Raw genomic sequence first — 17,569 nt, forward strand, 5'->3', positions numbered from 1 at the left:
ATTCTAGTCTCTGCTTTTATGAGTTCAGCTTTCTTAGATTTTACAAATGAGTTCATGCAGTGTTTGGCTTTTTGCGTCTGGCGTATTTCATTTAGCATAATGTCCTCCAGGTTCATCCATGTTATTGCAAATGGCAGAATTTCCTTCTTTTTTAAGGATGAATACTCTTCCTTTGTATATGTATACCACATTTGCTTTAACCATTCATCAGATAAGGCACACTTAGGTTGTTGCCCCAACTTTTTGGGAAGCTCCCTAAGTTGGTGTTCTGACCATGTCTGCTTACTTTTTGGTTTAAGCCCAGCACTTGGAATGAAGTAGGCACTCAGTATACATTTGAATGGATGATTGGTAGTTTTGTAGGGAGAAAAGCAGATACTGTTTATTATGCTGACAGTTCATTATTAAAGTAAAATTTATATATAGTAAAAATGCAGAAATCTTTGTAGTTCCATAAATTTTGAAAAATATGTACCCAAGTTACCATCACCCAGATCAAGATAAAGAACATTCCCCCATCCCACCAGCAAGTTCCCTTCTGCCCCTTCTTAGACGTGACCCGAAGGGCTTTTCTCCTTCGTTTTTTCCTGGAAGCTTTCTACGTTTAACTTTCACATTTTGTCGGTGATCCATCTCAAATTAATTTCTGTATATGATATGAGTAGGGGTGTCGAAGGTTTCTGTTGTTGTGCTTTAACAACTATTCCTTGTTCCTTTGATGAAATCAAATAATCAAGACTTGTATATAGAAATAGATTTGTCATTGGGAAATGGATCTCTGTATCTCTTTTTCTCTTTTATAATTGAACCATGGTTGCTGGGGATAACTTAGAAACACAGGAAAGGGCTAATTTTCTGCAGTGATTGGATGGCTCAAGGCAATATGTGTAGGACAGGTTACTCCAGTCAGACCTACGTTCAAATCCAAATGCCACCAGAGGTGAGACAAGATAGTCTTAATACTCAAATGTACAAAATAAATAGCCAGAGACCTCACCTAACAGGGTTCTTTTTAATGAGTAAATGAAATAACATGTGTAATACAGTCATCACAGTATAAACATCACAGTCAACGATGCCTGCTAGCTTTACACCTGTGCTTGTGTGTGTACATGTTGGGGTATGATATTGGAAAGAAAAACAAATCTCATAGCGATATACGGTGAAAAAGGTCCCTGAACTTGGATGAGGGTTCCTCTTTAAAAAGGAGGAACCCTTTTTATATTTATATCCTATCACACACAGAGTCACTCCCCTCAAAGGGAGAGGAGGCCCTCTTCTCACCTCTGAGGCTGCTCATGGCAGGAGCTCAGTCACTGCCAGTTCTCTGAGCCATTGTGGCTTCTGTCCTCACAATGAATAAACCTGGAAACACACTGTTTGAGTCTCTTCCTGCCTATGGGTTCTAAGTGCTGCTGTCTGAGCTGTGCCTGCAGCAGGCTTCCTGCTTCTGGTGCTCACTGCGGGGAGGGGAGCCATCGGTTGATACCAGGAGAGAGCCTGCTGCTCTGCTGCCTTCATTAGAAACAGGCAGTCTCCTTGTCTAAAAATAGCAAAAGTGGGAGAGTGGGGAAGAGCAGCAGCCATGCTCAGGGCTGAAAGTGAGAAAGGCAGAAACAAGCAGATCTCTGAAAGCCTCCTGTATGGTGGCAGGCGGCTAAGCATTCTGGGTGCAGTGACTGTGGTCAAAGCTTTTCTACTTCCCTGGGTCCGTGTTGGGGGGTTTTGTAGATGTGTCCACACACTCAGCCAAGGGCTGAGCATGAAGGAGCCGCTCTGTCCTGGCAGGAGCATGAGATGTGCCACACGCTGATACTGTCCAGGCTGCAGCAGGAGCGCTAGTGCTAGTGCTTGAGAATTTCCACACCCTGTAGTATCCTCACCCACTCCCTGCCCCAACCAAAGGTGAGCTTTTTCCCAGTGGGGCACAAGGTGTTGGTTTGACCATCACTTCAGAAGCGCCTGGGTCACGCTGGAATGGGCTTGCCCTTAAGCAGAGTGTGGCTCTGGTACTAAACAAGTCTTTGCAGCCATTAAGTGAGACCAGGCTGTATTTGTGGGTGTTCTCTGCAGGTAGAGCTTTCCTGTCTACATTTGTTATCAGTTAATGTTCTGGTAGCTAAACTAAGAGCAGAAAAGGAATTCTTTCCAAGGTCTTACGATAAATCTGTCTATGCAAGCAGACCTCATCAAAGCCCCATGAAAACAGGCAGAGTCTCAGAGGTAAGAGTCCTGTTGATACTCCTGTTTGCTTATCCCAAAGAGCTTTACCCTCTCTTGGCCTTTCTTTCTCTTGTACTATCCAAACTGATCCTCTTGCTGGCCTTGTGAGATGGGCTGGGCATCTTTCCCACCCACAGATGAGGAACCAGGAGCTCAGTGTCATAACTTGCCCAGCATTGTAACCAGTAATCAGAGACGCAGAGCTTGTATCAAGGCCTCTGCCCTTCGCCTGGATATTCTCTGAGGTTTCTTCCCCACATGACAGTTTCTGAAGGGCAAAAACCTCCTAACATGAAGCAGCCTAAAATGTGGCATGAATTTAAGCAAACTTAGGGGGCAAAAAAAAGACTCCATTTAACTTTGATTTGGGAAACATTTTTCTTTGCATGACCCAGCAATTATGACTCTGAACCCAGAGAGGGAAATATAACCCTAACTCACTGTTGGCCAGGCAGTATACAATATTTATATAGTCACAATACTATAAACTCTATGTGTCAATTTTCTAATTTTAGAGCCAATCTGTGGACAAAGAGGGAGCAATTTTGTTATAGCTGCAAGATAGGATATAAATATGAACAGCCCTGACAAAGTAGAGATAAAAGTTGTTCGGTGTTTTTTAAGTGTGTCTAATATAAAGTGAGAGGGGAAAGCAGGGACAAAGATGAAATAATGTGGGGAGTTAAAGGATACGGTGTGTGGTTGATGGAATAAAAAAGCTCACTAGGTATGTTATTTACAGTTACAAAATAAAATATAAATAGCAAATGTTGGAAGAAGACACAGGGTAGAAGAGGGTAAATGTCCCTCATAGTGAATCAATGGATGCTACCTTAGGTTAAGAATCTTTTAACCCCTGATTCATCAAAAGACATGAAGGGAATCGCCAGAAAATATTAAAAGAGAAATCCCAAAAAGGGCTGCTGCCCCTAGGGAATGGCGGAGGGTGGGGGTGGGGAGGGCAGGAGGTTGTTGCTTTTCATCAGAAGTCATCTGTGTTGTGTGCTTTATTATGATGTTTATTACTTCGATTAAAACAAATTGAGGCAGTGAGAGAATGACTTTTAAAAGACAAAAACTGTGGATAGTACCATATGTTCCCTCAACAAATGCTCTCATGAGAATTAGCTATAAAACACTCATTAGGTCTGCAAACAGAAATCAGAGTGTTCCAGGCTATAAAATTATCAATGACTGTTTTCAGCAGTCCAGCCAGGCTAATGCTCTCCAATGAAGCCAAACTAATGTTGCTGATAACCAAAAGAATCTTTTTTTTTTTTTCTGTAAATGACAGAGGCCTGTGTGGCATCAGGGTGCCATTAACGTTTTCTCCTAGAGAGACAGCCAGGAAGAAAAATCGCTCCTCCTGTACTGCTCTCACCTGTGAGAAGTTTATGACTTGTTCGGAGAGCAGAGCACAGAGCCCGGGAAGAGTACTGGCAGTTTCTGTGTTTTTACAAGGGAAGAACATAGCTGAGTAGATTAACAGTTTCCTGTGTGGCTTGTTGCAAATTACATGCAATTAGCCCTCAGACAGCCTGAATCGAGAGAATTGTGGCAAAACTTGATGGTGCAGAACCTAGGCAGGCAGCCAGACTCCTAAACCCAGTCACGTAAATTTGCTGCTGTAACTGGATCTTCCCAAGCCACAAGTCTGAGAAATGGTGGGCACTCTGACCTGACCACTAGATTTTCAGGATATTCCTCCTAAGAGAGGTATCCTTGCTTCTAAGTGACCCCTAAAACAGAACCTAGGAAACTCTCAGCCAGATAAATTAGAAATTGATTCTAAATAGGCTTGTGCCCAGGAAATCAACAATGCAGTAAAAATATCAGGACAAAAGCAAGAATACTTCCCAAAGTCAGAACTGAGGAGCAATGAATATTAAATTGATCAATGGCATAGACATTTAAATGAAAATCCTTTTTTTAAATGTATATTACTGGCCAGGCACGGTGGCTCACGCCTGTAATCCCAGCACTCTGGGAGGCTGAGGTGGGTGGATCGCCCAAGGCCAGGAGTTCAAGACCAGCCTGGCCAACATGGTGAAACCCCATCTCTACTAAAAATACAAAAAAAAAAGTAGTTGGGCATGGTGGTGCGCACCTGTAGTCCCAGCTACTTGAGAGGCTGAAGCAGGAGAATCGCTTAAGCCCGGGAGGTGGAGGTTGCAGTGAGCCAAGATTGCACCACTGCACTCAAGCCTGGGTGACAGCGAGACTCCATCTCAAAAAAAAAAAAATTATATTACCTTTACTGCTTGGGGCATCTTCAAGAGAAGACTTTGCTGTAGACTATGGATGCATTTATTTGAATTAGATGACTTATTCTTGCGTTATCTCCTTACTCTTTTGATAATTACATTTCATTATTTTTTAAGCCACAATGGACATGCACATACATACTCCTGCATACAGTTTATAGGTTCTTGAGCCTAGGTAAGACTTTATGTCCTATGTGAAACATTTCTTGATTAGGAAAGTTACACCTTTCTCTTCAGTAGTGCATATAACCTTTACTAATCTCTCTTTGCTAAAAATAATGTGACAGTGTTAAACTGAAATATTTTTAGTATCTGTTTTGGCTGAGGCCCAAAACAAAAGTAAATGTGAGACTATAGCACTTGCAAAGGTCAAAACTGGTTTTTGAATGGCAGAAAATCAGCTCTACAGCCCTCAGCTGACTACCCACCTCCAGCCTTTAAAAGAGGTTATTGAGGCCAAGAAAAGAGTGGCAGTTAGAATGTGATCTTTAGAGAGAACTGTTGATCAGAGGTGTCTGTCCCCACCCAGGGACACTTGGGAGGGCTTGATAAGTGTCCTGTGGAGGATGTGGCTCATGCCTGAGATCCTATGATGGCAGAGCAAGGAGAGTTTGCTGTTTGGAGTTGGCTTCTGCTACTCACTTCCTATCTTTTTTCTGTGTGTGTGTTTTTTTTTTCTCCTTAGCACTTTTGACCAACATAATACATATTTTAAATACTTATCTCATTGTCTGTCTTCTTTAATACTATGTAAGTTCCATCAGGCACAGACTTTTAAAATTTGATCTCTGTATTCTAGGTGCTAGAATCCATTCTAGGTGCAGTGTGCATACATGGATACTCAATAACTATTTGCAGCTGGGAGCAGTAGTAGCTCATGCCTGTAATGGCAGTGCATTACAGGCCTGTGTGGCTTGTTGCAAATTGTGTGCAATTAGCCCTCAGACAGTCTGAATCGAGAGAACTGTGGCAAAACTTAATGGTGCAGCACATCGGCAGGCAGCCAGACTCTTAAACTCTTGGCCTTTGGGATGATAACTTGAGCCCAGGAGTTTGACACCAGCCTTGGCAATATAGGGAGACCTCATCTCTACCAAAAAAATTTTAAAAAGAAACACCAGGCATGGTGGCACATGCCTTTAGTCCCAGCTACTTGGGGGCTGAGGCAGGAGGATCATTTGAGCTCAGGAGTCCAAGGCTGCAGCAAGCCAAGATTGCAACACTGCACTCCAGCCTGGATGACAGAGCAATACCCTGTCTCTAAAAAATACAAATTAAATAACTAAATATTTGCATCCTACATTCATTACCACAAATCACTCCAACAACCCTACTCGTTCTGTATTATTATTCTCATTTTACATATGGGAAACTGGAGCTCTTACTCAGAAGGGTTAAGAAACTTACCCAGTATCACATACAACTAAGTCCAAGAGCCAGAATTGAAAGTCAGATTCATCTGATTCCAAAGCTTATGCTCTGCCTGTTAATGCTTTCTCAGCTCAGGTGCCTGTTTCCTGAAAATGTATTCTCATCCTTTTTTGGGTGCTAGGTAGTATCTAATCTAAGATTTTTAGGCAAGTAACATGCCATTCTGTGCTGTGGTCTCACTTGGTAGATCCTGCATAATGAGGATAACAAATAGAAAGATTAATTAATTGGTTATGTAGCTTACACTCAATACCAAGACAATAATAATTTCAGATTATTCAGAATACATTTAATGGTACTTTACTGTATAAATGCCTGATTATTCATTTAGGGCTGTATATTCTCCCAAATTCTTTTATATGTATAATTTGGTTTAAATATTAAATTGTTGGAAGCTTAAGTAGCATTATTTTCATTGTTCAATCTTAATATCCATTGTTTTAAATATGTTGTTTTAGAAAGCATATTTTGCTTACTTTTCCTCAAAACTTTCTGTTCATTGTTACTCTTCCCAAAAGAACAAAGATCTCCACAGCTAACACCAAACATCATATACCATATTTGTTTTTGTGGGTATTCTGTAATTATTTTCAAGCTCCTAGGCACATTTGCGTACACTACTTTTGTTTCTGCAATGACAAATTTCTAAAATGTTAGCAGCAATGACTGTAAAAAAGGGTAGTTAATTGGAAAAGAGTTCAGATCCTAACTCTGTTTAGGGACCATGTAACCCAGGCAAGCCGCTGCACCTCCCTGGGCCTCATCCTGGAAGTAGAGATGTTGGGCAGACACATGGGGAGGGATTGCGTGTATGAGTGTAACAGGCTGGGTGGGATGCTCGAGTGAGGTGGGGACCCTGCAGCAATGCAGAGGACATGCTCGGTCTAAGGAAGGCAGCTGCAATCTCACTGCTACTCAGAAATGTAGGCTTACAGTTGGCCACTCTTCTCATGTCTCAAAAGAAACTGGGTTTTTGTGGGAATTTCCTTTTCCTCAATTTGGCAATAATTCAAACTAAAATCTCTTCTTCTTTTTTTTTTTTTTTGAGACAGAGTCTCACTCTGTCGCCCAGGCTGGAGTGCAATGGTGCGATCTCGGCTCACTGCCACCTCCGTCTTCCGGATTCAAGCAATTCTCCTGCCTCAGCCTCCCAAGTAACTGGGATTACAGGCTCCCACCACCACGCCTGGCTAATTTTTGTATTTTTAGTAGAGACAGGATTTTGCCATGTTGGCCAGGATGGTCTTGAACTCCTGACCTCAGGCGATCCACCTGCCTCGGCCTCCCAAAGTGCTGGGATTACAGGCATGAGCCACCACACCTGGCCAACAGATCTCTTCTTCAAAACAGTTCTTCCAGCCAGACTGGGTTTGTGGGACAGCAGTGTGTAACCTCTGGGCAGGACATCCCCAGGATGGAGGTGCTCTGGCCCATGCCTGCACTATACCAGCATGTGCCCTGGGACATTGCAGATGGCTCCCCAGGCCTCCACGGGCCTGCACTCACAGTCTCTTCACCAGAGAGCTCGAAATCTCAGAACCCAACTCTCTCATGTCATCAAGCCAGAGACATGAGTCTGCTTTTCTGTCTCCTTAGATTTGTCTGTTCTTAGACATTTTGCATAAATGAAATTATGTAATATGTGGTCCTCTATGACTGGCGTCTTTCACTTGGCATAATGTTTTCAAGGTTTCCTCATGTTGTTGCATATATCAGAGCTTTATTCTTTTTATTACTGCATAATATTCCATTTTATGAATTATTTGTCCATTCATCAGTTGGTGGACGTTTGAGTTGTTTCCACTTTCTGGCTACTATGAATAATGCTACTGCAAACATTCATATACAAGTTTGTGTGTGGACAAGTTTTCATTTTTCTTGGATATGTATGTGGGAGTGGAATTGGTGTATCATATTGCTTTGAGGACAGACCAAACAGTTTTCTGAAGTAGCTGTACCGTTTTATCAAATACATTCCCATCAGCAGTGTATGAGGGCTTCAGTTGCTCTACCTCCTCTCCAACAAGTTTAATTTTTCTGATTTTCTATGATAACTATCCCAGTAGTTGTGAAAGTGGTATCTCACTATAGTTTTGATTTGCATTTTCCTTATGACTAAGGACATTAAGCATCTTTTTATATGCTTATTGACCATTCATGTCTTCTTTGGAGAACTCTCCAGATTCTTTGCTCATTTTTAAATTTGGTTATTTGCCTTTTTATTGCTAAGTTATAAGAGTTCTTTATATAATCTGGATACATGTCTCGATGAGCCTCATTTTTGTCACCCAAATTTAATGATATTCAAAATATTCTACTTACTAAGATAGGAAACTATTCTGTTTGAAAAACAGTATAAATAACAACGTTTTAAAAAAAAGAAAGATGCCCATTTGATTTTATCAAATTTTGACCTTATGATACTACTAAGTAAATCTGATATTTCTTTTTTCTGTAATCATACTATATTTTAGCTGAAATAATTGATAAATATACCTGTCAAGTCTCAAATAATATTCTAATTAATTTTTGTATGTTAATTTTGTCTTAACCATGCCAGTGGCTTACTCATAGCTTCCAAAAATAAAAGGTAACTCTTAGATTGAAAAATACTTTCAAAGTGGGTGGGTTTGCCTCTAGGGAGGAGAATGCTGGATCACAAGAGGGCAGGAGAAAGAGAATTACTTTCTGCTGTATTTTACACTTATATGCATGTAGCGTCATTTAAAAAAAAATAAATTTTGGAGGCTGGGCACTGTGGCTCATGCCTGTAATTGCAGCACTTTGGGAGGCTGAGGCGGGTGGATCACCTGAGGTCAGGAGTTCAAGACCAGCCTGGCCAATATGGCAAAACCCCGTCTCTACTAAAATATGAAAATTAGCTGGGTGGGGTGGCATACGCCTGTAATCTCATTTACTCAGGAGGCTAAGAGAGGAGAATCACTTGAACCCAGGAGGCGGAGGTTGCAGTGAACTGAGATCTCACCATTGCACTCCAGCCTGGGTGACAAGAGTGAAACTCTGTCTCAAAATAATTAATTAATTAATTAATGTTGGGGCCAGGCGTGGCGGCTTATGCCTATAATCCCAGCACTTTGGGAGGCCGAGGTGAGCAGATCATTTGAGGCCAGCAGTTCAAGACCAGCCTGGCCAACAGTGAAACTCTGTCTCTACTAAAAATACAAAAATTAGCAGGGCGTGGTGGCAAGTGCCTATAATCCCTGCTACTCGGGAGCCTGAGGCAGGAGAATCACTTGAACCTGGGAGGCGGAGGTTGCAGTGAGCCAAGATCATGCCATTGCACTCTAGCCTGGGCAACAGAGCGAGACTCCATCTCAAAATAAATAAATAATAAAACATAAATTTTCAGCAAAATTTAAATGTGGACTATTGTATTAGTCCATTTTCACACTGCTGATAAAGACATACCCGAGACTGGGAAGAAAAATAGGTTTTATGGACTCATAGTTCCATGTGGCTGGGGAGGCCTCACAATCATGGTGGAAGGCTAAAGGCACTTCTTACATGGCAGTGGCGAGGGAGAATGAGAGAGGAGCAAAAGCAGAAACCCCTTATAAAACATCATAACTCATGAGACTTATTCACTACCATGAGAACAGCACGGGGGAAACCACCTCCATGATTTAATTATCTCCCACCAGGTCCTTCTCCCAACACATGGGAATTATGAGATTACAATTCAAGATGAGATTTGGATGGGGGGACACAGACCCAAACCATATCAACTATAGATTAGATCATGGTATTATATCATTTTACATTTCCTGATTTCGATAATTGTACTGTATTATATAAAAGGATGTCCTTGTTTTTAGGAAATTCACACTGATGGGCTTATGGGTAAAGGAATGACTTGTATGCAATTTAGTCTTCCCAAACAGTTCAGGGAAAAAATGCTTATGGGTATTTATAAATAAATAATTACAAAGCAAATATGGTCAAATGATAGGAAGGGTATCCTGGACTTTTTAGCATTCCTTCCCTTTTTCTGTGAGTTTAAAGTTATTTCAAAATTAAAGTTTAAAAAAAAATTTAAAAGAAAGACACTTCCGGAATATTCTTTTATATATAAGAGCTTCCAGAATATTCTTTTATATATTTGATATATATTAATATATTTGATACACTTAATATTAGGAAAGAAATAAAAATCATAAATAAAAACTCAAGAATGGAAAAACTTAGTTGTTTTTTTGGGGTTTTTTTTTTTTTTTTTTTTTTTGAGATGAAGTCTCACTCTGTCACCCAGTCTGGAGTGCAGTGGTGCAATCTTGACTCACTGCAACCTCTGCCTCCCGGCTTCAAATGATTCTCCTGCCTCAGCCTCCTGAGTAGCTGGGATTACAGGCATGTGCCACCATTCCCGGCTAATATTTTGTATTTTTAGTAGTGACAAGGTTTCACCATATTGGCCAGGCTGCTGTCGAACTTCTGACCTCAGATGATCTGCCCGCCTTGGCCTCCCAAAGTGCTGGGATTATAGGCGTGAGCCACCGCGCCCAGCCTCTTTATGACTTTTGTAATCAGGAAAAATACAAGTGAACCTTACTTCTTAAGATCTACACAATTTGTTGCGCATGGTGGCTCATGCCTGTAGTCCCAGCATTTTGGGAGGCCGAGGTGGGTGAATCACGAGGTCAGGAGTTTGAGACCAGCCTGGCCAACATGGTGAAACCCCACCTCTACTAAAAATACAAAAATTAGCGGGACGTGGTGGCGGGCGCCTGTAATCCCAGCTGCTCGAGAGGCTGAGGCAGGAGAATCGCTTGAGCCCAGGAGGCAGAGATTGCAGTGAGCGAAGACCGTGCCATTGCACTCCAGCCTGGCTGACAGAGCAAGACTCCGTCTCAAAAAAAAAAAAAAAAAAAAAAAAAATCCACACAATTCTTTTAACAAGTTTTTTTTTTAATATTAAAAAGGTCAGGGCTTTTAATATTTCACATATCTTCAATTAATAGGTAAATATGTACAAAGACAGGATTATGTGCAGTTCCCAGGTTCCCAGACGCGGGAAAGACAGAGATTATAATGTCCTCAGTGGCCTCCTGTTCAGCTTGGAGGCTTAGACAGGAACCTCAGAGGATGCCTTTAGATGGGGAGTTTTCAGAAGAGGTGAGCTCTGATTTAAACCTGGAAGGGGTCGCAGAGGAAGAGGAGAGATGAAGCCCACCTTCCCCAGCCCTGCCCTCAGCTCTACCACCCAGGGAAGACCATAGGCTGCTGTTGGTTCCCTCCACATGGCCAATGGCCAGCCTTCTGCCAACTCTCCCAACACCAATATCACACTCTTCTCCATTTTCTTTTTTTTTTTCAAATATTTTGTTCCAGCAAAACCTTCCCATGGCAAATTTCCACAGGTTAAAAACATAACTTTGATTTTAATGGGGAAAAATTTTGTATATCCATGAGCCCCTAAATTAATACCCAATTTTAACACTATAAAAATGGAGCAAGCTGGGCACAGTGGCTCACATCTGTATTTCTGGCACTTTGGGAGGCCGTGGTGGGTAGATCACCTGAGGTCAGGAGTTCAAGACCAGCCTGGCCAACATGGTGAAACCCCGTCTCTACGAAAAATACAAAAATTAGCCAGGCATGGTGGTGCACACCTGTGATCCCAGCTACTCGGGAGGCTGAGGCAAGAGAATCACTGGAACCCAGGAGGTGGAGATTGCAGTGAGCTGAGATCACGCCACTGCACTCCACAGCCTGGGCAAGAGAGCAAGACTCCGTCTCAAAAAAAAAAACAAGAGGACCAGTTACTTCAACAGTTTCAACAGTTAACACTGGTTATATCACAACAAAACAATGGTGGCTTCTCTTCAGATGACTCTCCAATATACTGTCTACCTGCATTCCTTTGGCTTTTGGTATTGTCGTAGTTACTAAGGGTGTGCTCCAGCTATCCTCACAGAGGACATAACACAGTGCTCTGTGTTTATGTGGTTCACTGCTACTCCAAGTGTGGTCCTTGAACCAGCAGCGTTAGCATCACCTGGGAACTTGTCAGAAATGCAAATCCATGGGCTCTATGCCAGACTCTGGCTCAGAAGCTTTGTGGGAGGGATCCAAGAAATTTCATTCTAACCAGCCCACCAGGGGATTCTGAGGCACATGTAAGTTTGAGAACCACTGATGTAATTGAAAAAGAAGAAAAAAAGAGTAAAAAGGGGAAAAAAAGAAAAATCATCAGTGCTAATGATGCACAAGGTTATCTTTTGTAAACTAGGGTAGTGTAAATACTGTAAATTGAAGCAGCAAGAACTAATCATTCAAAGTCAAAGATAACTAATGAGCCCCTAGATTCACATCCTCCCACCACTCACAAGGCATGGGACCCACAGATCCCCTCTCCCAAATGCAATGAGGTATCTCGTGTGCTGGTAGAGAGAGAAAATGCACTTCTAGTAAAACTGAATACTATATATTTTTTTTTTGAGACAGAGTCTCACTTTGTTGCCGGGCTAGAGTGCAGTGGTGCGATCTCAGCTCACTGCAACCTCCACCTCCTGAGTTCCAGTGATTCTTCTGCCTCAGCCTCCTGAGTAGCTGGGACTACAGGTGTGCACCACCACACCCAGCTAATTTTTGTATTTTTAGTAGAGACGGGGTTTCACCATGTTGGCCAGGATGGTCTTGATCTCTTGACCTCGTGATCCGCCGGCCTCAGCCTCCCAAAGTCCTGGGATTACAGGCATGAGCCACCGCGCCTGGGCTAAACCCAAACTCTTTAAACTCAAGTGACCATGTCTCCAGGCATAACCATATTTCCTTCAAATTCTCAAAATTGTTTATCCCCAAAAGCTGCCCACCTCACCCTCTTTAGGACTTTGGAGGTGTCTTTAGATTTTGTTCTGGGGGCCTCATGCCCATCATTCATCTTTATTTTTCCAGCAAAGGGTTACCTTCCAGTTCAACATTTACCTTGGAAGAGGGGACCATCTACTTGACCGCTGAGCCCAACACTCTGGAAGTGCAGGATGACAATGCTTCTGTGCTTGACGTCTATTTAGTAAGTAATTTTTTAGTTTCCTCTCCTCCACTTCTGGTTTGTAAATGGATCCAGGCCATGGCTTACACAAGAACAAGTTCAATAAAACCAGGCATGCTTGGGTTTTAAAAGAAATGATGGCGCCCTTTCACTTCTGCAAATGGTGCTTCTTTTCACAAGCAATGTTTTCCTACAATTTATTACACAAAAGAACATCTAGGTCAATACGAAATCACCACGTATAACAAGAGAACGAATCCTCTAATGTTGAGGCAAAGTAGGGCTCCTTAGTGTTATTCCCAGCGAGGAAATGTTTCCCTTTGACTCAGCCGTGCTCCCTGATGTTTGAATCTTCTGTGTGTTGGCGTTGCTCCCTTGGTAAGTTAGTAGGCCGAGAGGCGCAGAACTGGGTCATGGGAAGAACCCAAATTCAGTGCTGGAGAATCTTGGCTGATTCTCTCCTCAGTTGTCACCAACCAGCTGTGTGATTTGGGAAGGAACCTTTCTGACTGCCTAAGGAGGGAAATAATGCCCACCCTGCCTACCTTACAAGGCTGCTTTGAGGATCATGAGTGACCCTTTAGTGCCTGTCAAATTACCTGTATCAGCTTAATCGAACTGTTAGATAATGCCTAGAAAGATACCCTGATGGGCTACACTGTAAAAGAGTATTTTCTGTGCCAAGTGCATCTTGCATGTATGCTACGTCTTTGTATGCCTGCACAAAAAAAAATTTTTTTTGGGGGGGGGCAGAGTTTTGCTCTTGTTGCCCAGGCTGGAGTGCAATGGTGCGATCTCGGCTCACCGCAACCTCCGCCTCCCAGGTTCAAGCAATTCTCCTGCCTCAGCCTCCCTAGTAGCTGGGATTACAGGCATGTGCCACCACGCCTGGCTAATTTTGTATTTTTAGTAGAGACGGGGTTTCCATGTTGGTCAGGCTGGTCTCAAACTCCCGACCTCAGGTATCTGCCCACCTTGGCCTCCCAAAGTGCTGGGATTACAGGCATGAGCCACTGCACCCGGCCTACCTGCACAAAATTACATAAAACAGGGGAAGTGTTCTTTTGGAATTTTCTGGGTTTTTTTAAGTTTTGCTAAACCTGAGCCAATACTCTGTGTCGCTCCTGGTGTACAAGTGCAACTTCAGGAATCAGCACCGAGTGATGCATGTCTCACAGCAGCTCCCTGAGCCTCCTTGAGCCTGCATTTTATGCTTTTCCATATCCCTGACCTAGCACTGTAATTTCTCACAAGTGCTCTGCAGGGCATCAGTCACCTAAGATGCTACTCCTAGCAATACTGGAGTAGTATCCAAAGTCCTGGCCAGGCATGGTGGCTCATGCCTCTAATCCCAGCACTTTGGGAGTCTGAGGCAGGCAAATCACTTGAGGTCAGGAGTTCGAGACCAGCCTGACCAGGATGGTGAAACCCCATCTCTACTAAAAATAGGAAAATTAGGCAGGCATGGTGGTGCATGTCTGTAGTCCCAGCTACTTAGGAGGCTGAGGTAGGAGAATCACTTGCACCTGGGAGGCGGAGGTTGCAATGAGCCGAGATCATGCCACTGCATTCCCACCTAGGCAACAGAGCATGACCCTGTCTCAAAAAAAAAAAAAAAAAAAAAAAAAAAAAAAAGTCCTGGCTGGGCGCAGTGGCTCACGCCTGTAATCCCAGCACTTTGGGATGCCGAGGCAGGAGCATCAGGAGGTCAGGAGTTCGAGACCATCCTGGCTAACACGGTGAAACCCCATCTGTACTAAAAATACAGAGGAAAAATTAGCCGGGCGTGGTGGCAGGCGCCTGTAGTCCCAGCTACTCGGAAGGCTGGGGCAGGAGAATGGCGTGAACCCGGGAGGCGGAGCTTGCGGTGAGCCGAGATCACGCCACTGCACTCCAGCCTGGGCGACAGAGCCAGACTCCGTCTCCAAAAAAAAAAAAGTCCTCCAGGCCCTGCATGGTCTGGTCTCCCCTGCATCTCCGACCTGCCCCCTCCCTGGGTCTCCCTCTTCCTTGCTGATGCTATTCTAGCCACACTGGCCTCCTTGGTGTTCCTCTCACAGACCAAGCACATCTCTGCCTTGGGACTTTTGTGTTTGCCATTCCTGTCTGTGTATTCTTTTCCACCTATCCCATGCTCCCTCACTTCCTTCAGGTCTCAGCCCAAGTACCTCTTTTTCAGATAGGCTTTTCTTGACCGCCCCCTACGTAAAACAGCAGGTCCCCCACCAACCGTTGTAAAAAGATTTTTTCTCTGAATATCCTAGTTTTTGCATAAACAAATTTTTTTGCACTGAGCAATGCTCCACCCTACCATTGCCCCCGCTTTAAAAAAAATAAGATTGTAGCAGATCACAAAATCCTTACAGAAAAGTTGGTCCACCCCCAACCAAGAAAATGGGGAATTAAATAGGGAAAAAAATACATTTTTGGTCCCATGTTGGATTCATCTGGAACCAGAAATCAGGAAAGCCTTTCAGAAAGAAGCTAAGTAAAATCTCATCTTCATGAGCTAAGGATTCATGCCACTTTCATGTGTCTTTACAAAAACTAGATTTTCACCAGTCACGGAGGTGCAATATTCCTAAGTGAGCCAAAACTCAAATTCAGCTCCATGTGTGGTCCTGCCTAAACTTGAACCCAGGAGCACCCTGTTGTTGTTATTGACCATAAATATAAGTCTCACGTCCATCTCATTGGAATCATGTGTCTTACAAGAGTGAGGGAAGGATACAGAAAGGAAGGAATGAGGGGGTTTTATTGAGAATATTTTTTGTAAAATTCTTTCACTGTTTTTTCCTGAATTTTTTTTTTTTTTTTTTTTGAGATGGAATTTCACTCTTGTCGCCCAGGCTGGAGTGCAGTGGCGCGATCTCGACTCACTGCAACCTCCACCTCCCAGGTTCAAGCGATTCTCCTGCCTCAGCCTCCTAAGTAGCTGGGATTACAGGGACCTGCCACCACGCCCAGCTAATTTTTCGTGTTTTCACTAGAGACGGGGTTTCGCCATGTTGGTCAGGCTGATTTTGAACTCCTGACCTCAGGTGATCCGCCCGCCTCGGCCTCCCAAAGTGCTGGGATTATAGGAGTGAGCCACTGCACCTAGCCAAAATTGTTTAAGTATTCATTAATTTAAAACAGTAATCTATTATATGTTAAATAATGTTTTTATGAATATTATTATATTTTCCAAAACAAAAATAAATTTTGTGAGAAAGGTGGCATTCTTTTATATTTCTGCAAATCCCTAATGTCTGGCTTAATGGAAGAAAAAAGATTCTCACATCTGTTTCTGTATCTGTCTTCTTGATATATATAACACATCATTTCATTTCTAGAAAGCTCCATCGTACATCCATGAAAGGGAATGAGAATAAAAAGGCAAACAACATCTTTGTATTATTAGGAAAATAGTTTGACCTCATGGACCCCCAGAAATGATCCCTACAGAGTTTTTCTCATATTTTAACTTAGTCTCTTCACCTGTTGCAAAACCAAGTGAAGCATAAATTAATTAGAGACAAATAGGCACCTGGAGTCTGTGCTGGTCTCTGCCTCTCATTAATCGTTTCCCTTGAATTCAGTGATCTCAGTTTTCTCATCTATAAAATGAATTATTAAATCAGGTTCATTCTAAATTACAAAGAGATATAGAAATAAGATTTTCCAAGGTGGGAAGATTGCTTGAGGCCAGGAGTTCGAGACCAGCCAAGGCAACACAGTGATACCTCATCTCTACAAAAATTAAAAAAAAAAAAAAATTAGCCATGCTTGGTGGTGCATGCCTGTAGTCCCAGCTACTTGTGAGGCTGAGGCTGGAGGATCCCTCAGGCCCAGGAGTCTGAGGTTGCAGTGAGCCATGATCTAGTCACTGCACCCCAGCCTAGGCAATGGAGTGAGACATGGTCTCTAAAGAAATTGAAAGAAAAGAAAGAAAAGAAGGAAAGGAAGGAAGGAAGGGAAGAAGGGAAGGGAAGGGAAGGGAGGGGAGGGGAGAAAGAAAGAGAGAAAGAAAGAGAAAAGGAAGGTTTCCAAAGTATCTACCGTTGTTTCTCCAAATTTTGCTGTTTAATCACCTCCTGTACCATAAACTTTCACATTCTTTAAACTTAAATTTTATGGCAGTACATCTAGAAAGTCCTGCACCATTAACTTGTAATTCCAGAATGTGTTTTCATGCTGGAAAATTTTATTTTTTGTTTTGCGTGCTCTTCTAGATCAGAAAGGGTACAGCTCATTGCCCTCCCTTCAGTATTTTCATTTGCATCTCCATATGAAAAAGCAAATGGAGGCCGGGCACAGTGGCTCATGCCTGTAATCCCAGCACTTTGGGAGGCCGAGGCGGGCAGATCACCTGAGGTCGGGAATTCGAGACCAGCCTGACCAACATGGAGAAACCCTATCTCTACTAAAACTACAAAATTAGCTAGGCGTGGTGGTGCATGCCTGTAATCCCAGCTACTCAGGAGGCTGAGGCAGGAGAATGGCTTGAACCCAGGAGGCAGAGGTTGCGGTGAGCCAAGATTGCGCCATTGCACTCCAGCCTGGGCAACAAGAGCAAAACTCCGTCTCAAAAAAAAAAAAAAAAGGAAGAAAGAAAATGGAAAAGAAAAGCACAAGAAAGGAAAACCAATCTTGCCTT

General features: G+C 42.9%; 1 protein-coding gene across 14 annotated transcripts in view; it reads left to right on the top strand.

Annotated features, from left to right (window-relative positions):
- The window catches only part of PIP5K1B (phosphatidylinositol-4-phosphate 5-kinase type 1 beta), a 303,937-nt gene that overhangs the window by 273,067 nt on the left and 13,301 nt on the right, over window positions 1-17,569 (top strand). For 11 of the 14 annotated variants that reach the window (XM_017015189.2, XM_047423951.1, NM_003558.4 and 8 more), the window contains one exon: window positions 12,834-12,951. The exons of the other annotated variants lie outside the window; for them this stretch is intronic. In XM_017015189.2, coding sequence (XP_016870678.1) covers window positions 12,834-12,951 — 118 coding nt within the window. The remainder of the gene's footprint in view (window positions 1-12,833; window positions 12,952-17,569) is intronic. 14 annotated transcript variants of the gene reach the window in all.

Source organism: Homo sapiens, chromosome 9, assembly GCF_000001405.40.
Source record: "Homo sapiens chromosome 9, GRCh38.p14 Primary Assembly".
NCBI classification, from domain to species: Eukaryota; Metazoa; Chordata; class Mammalia; order Primates; family Hominidae; genus Homo; species Homo sapiens.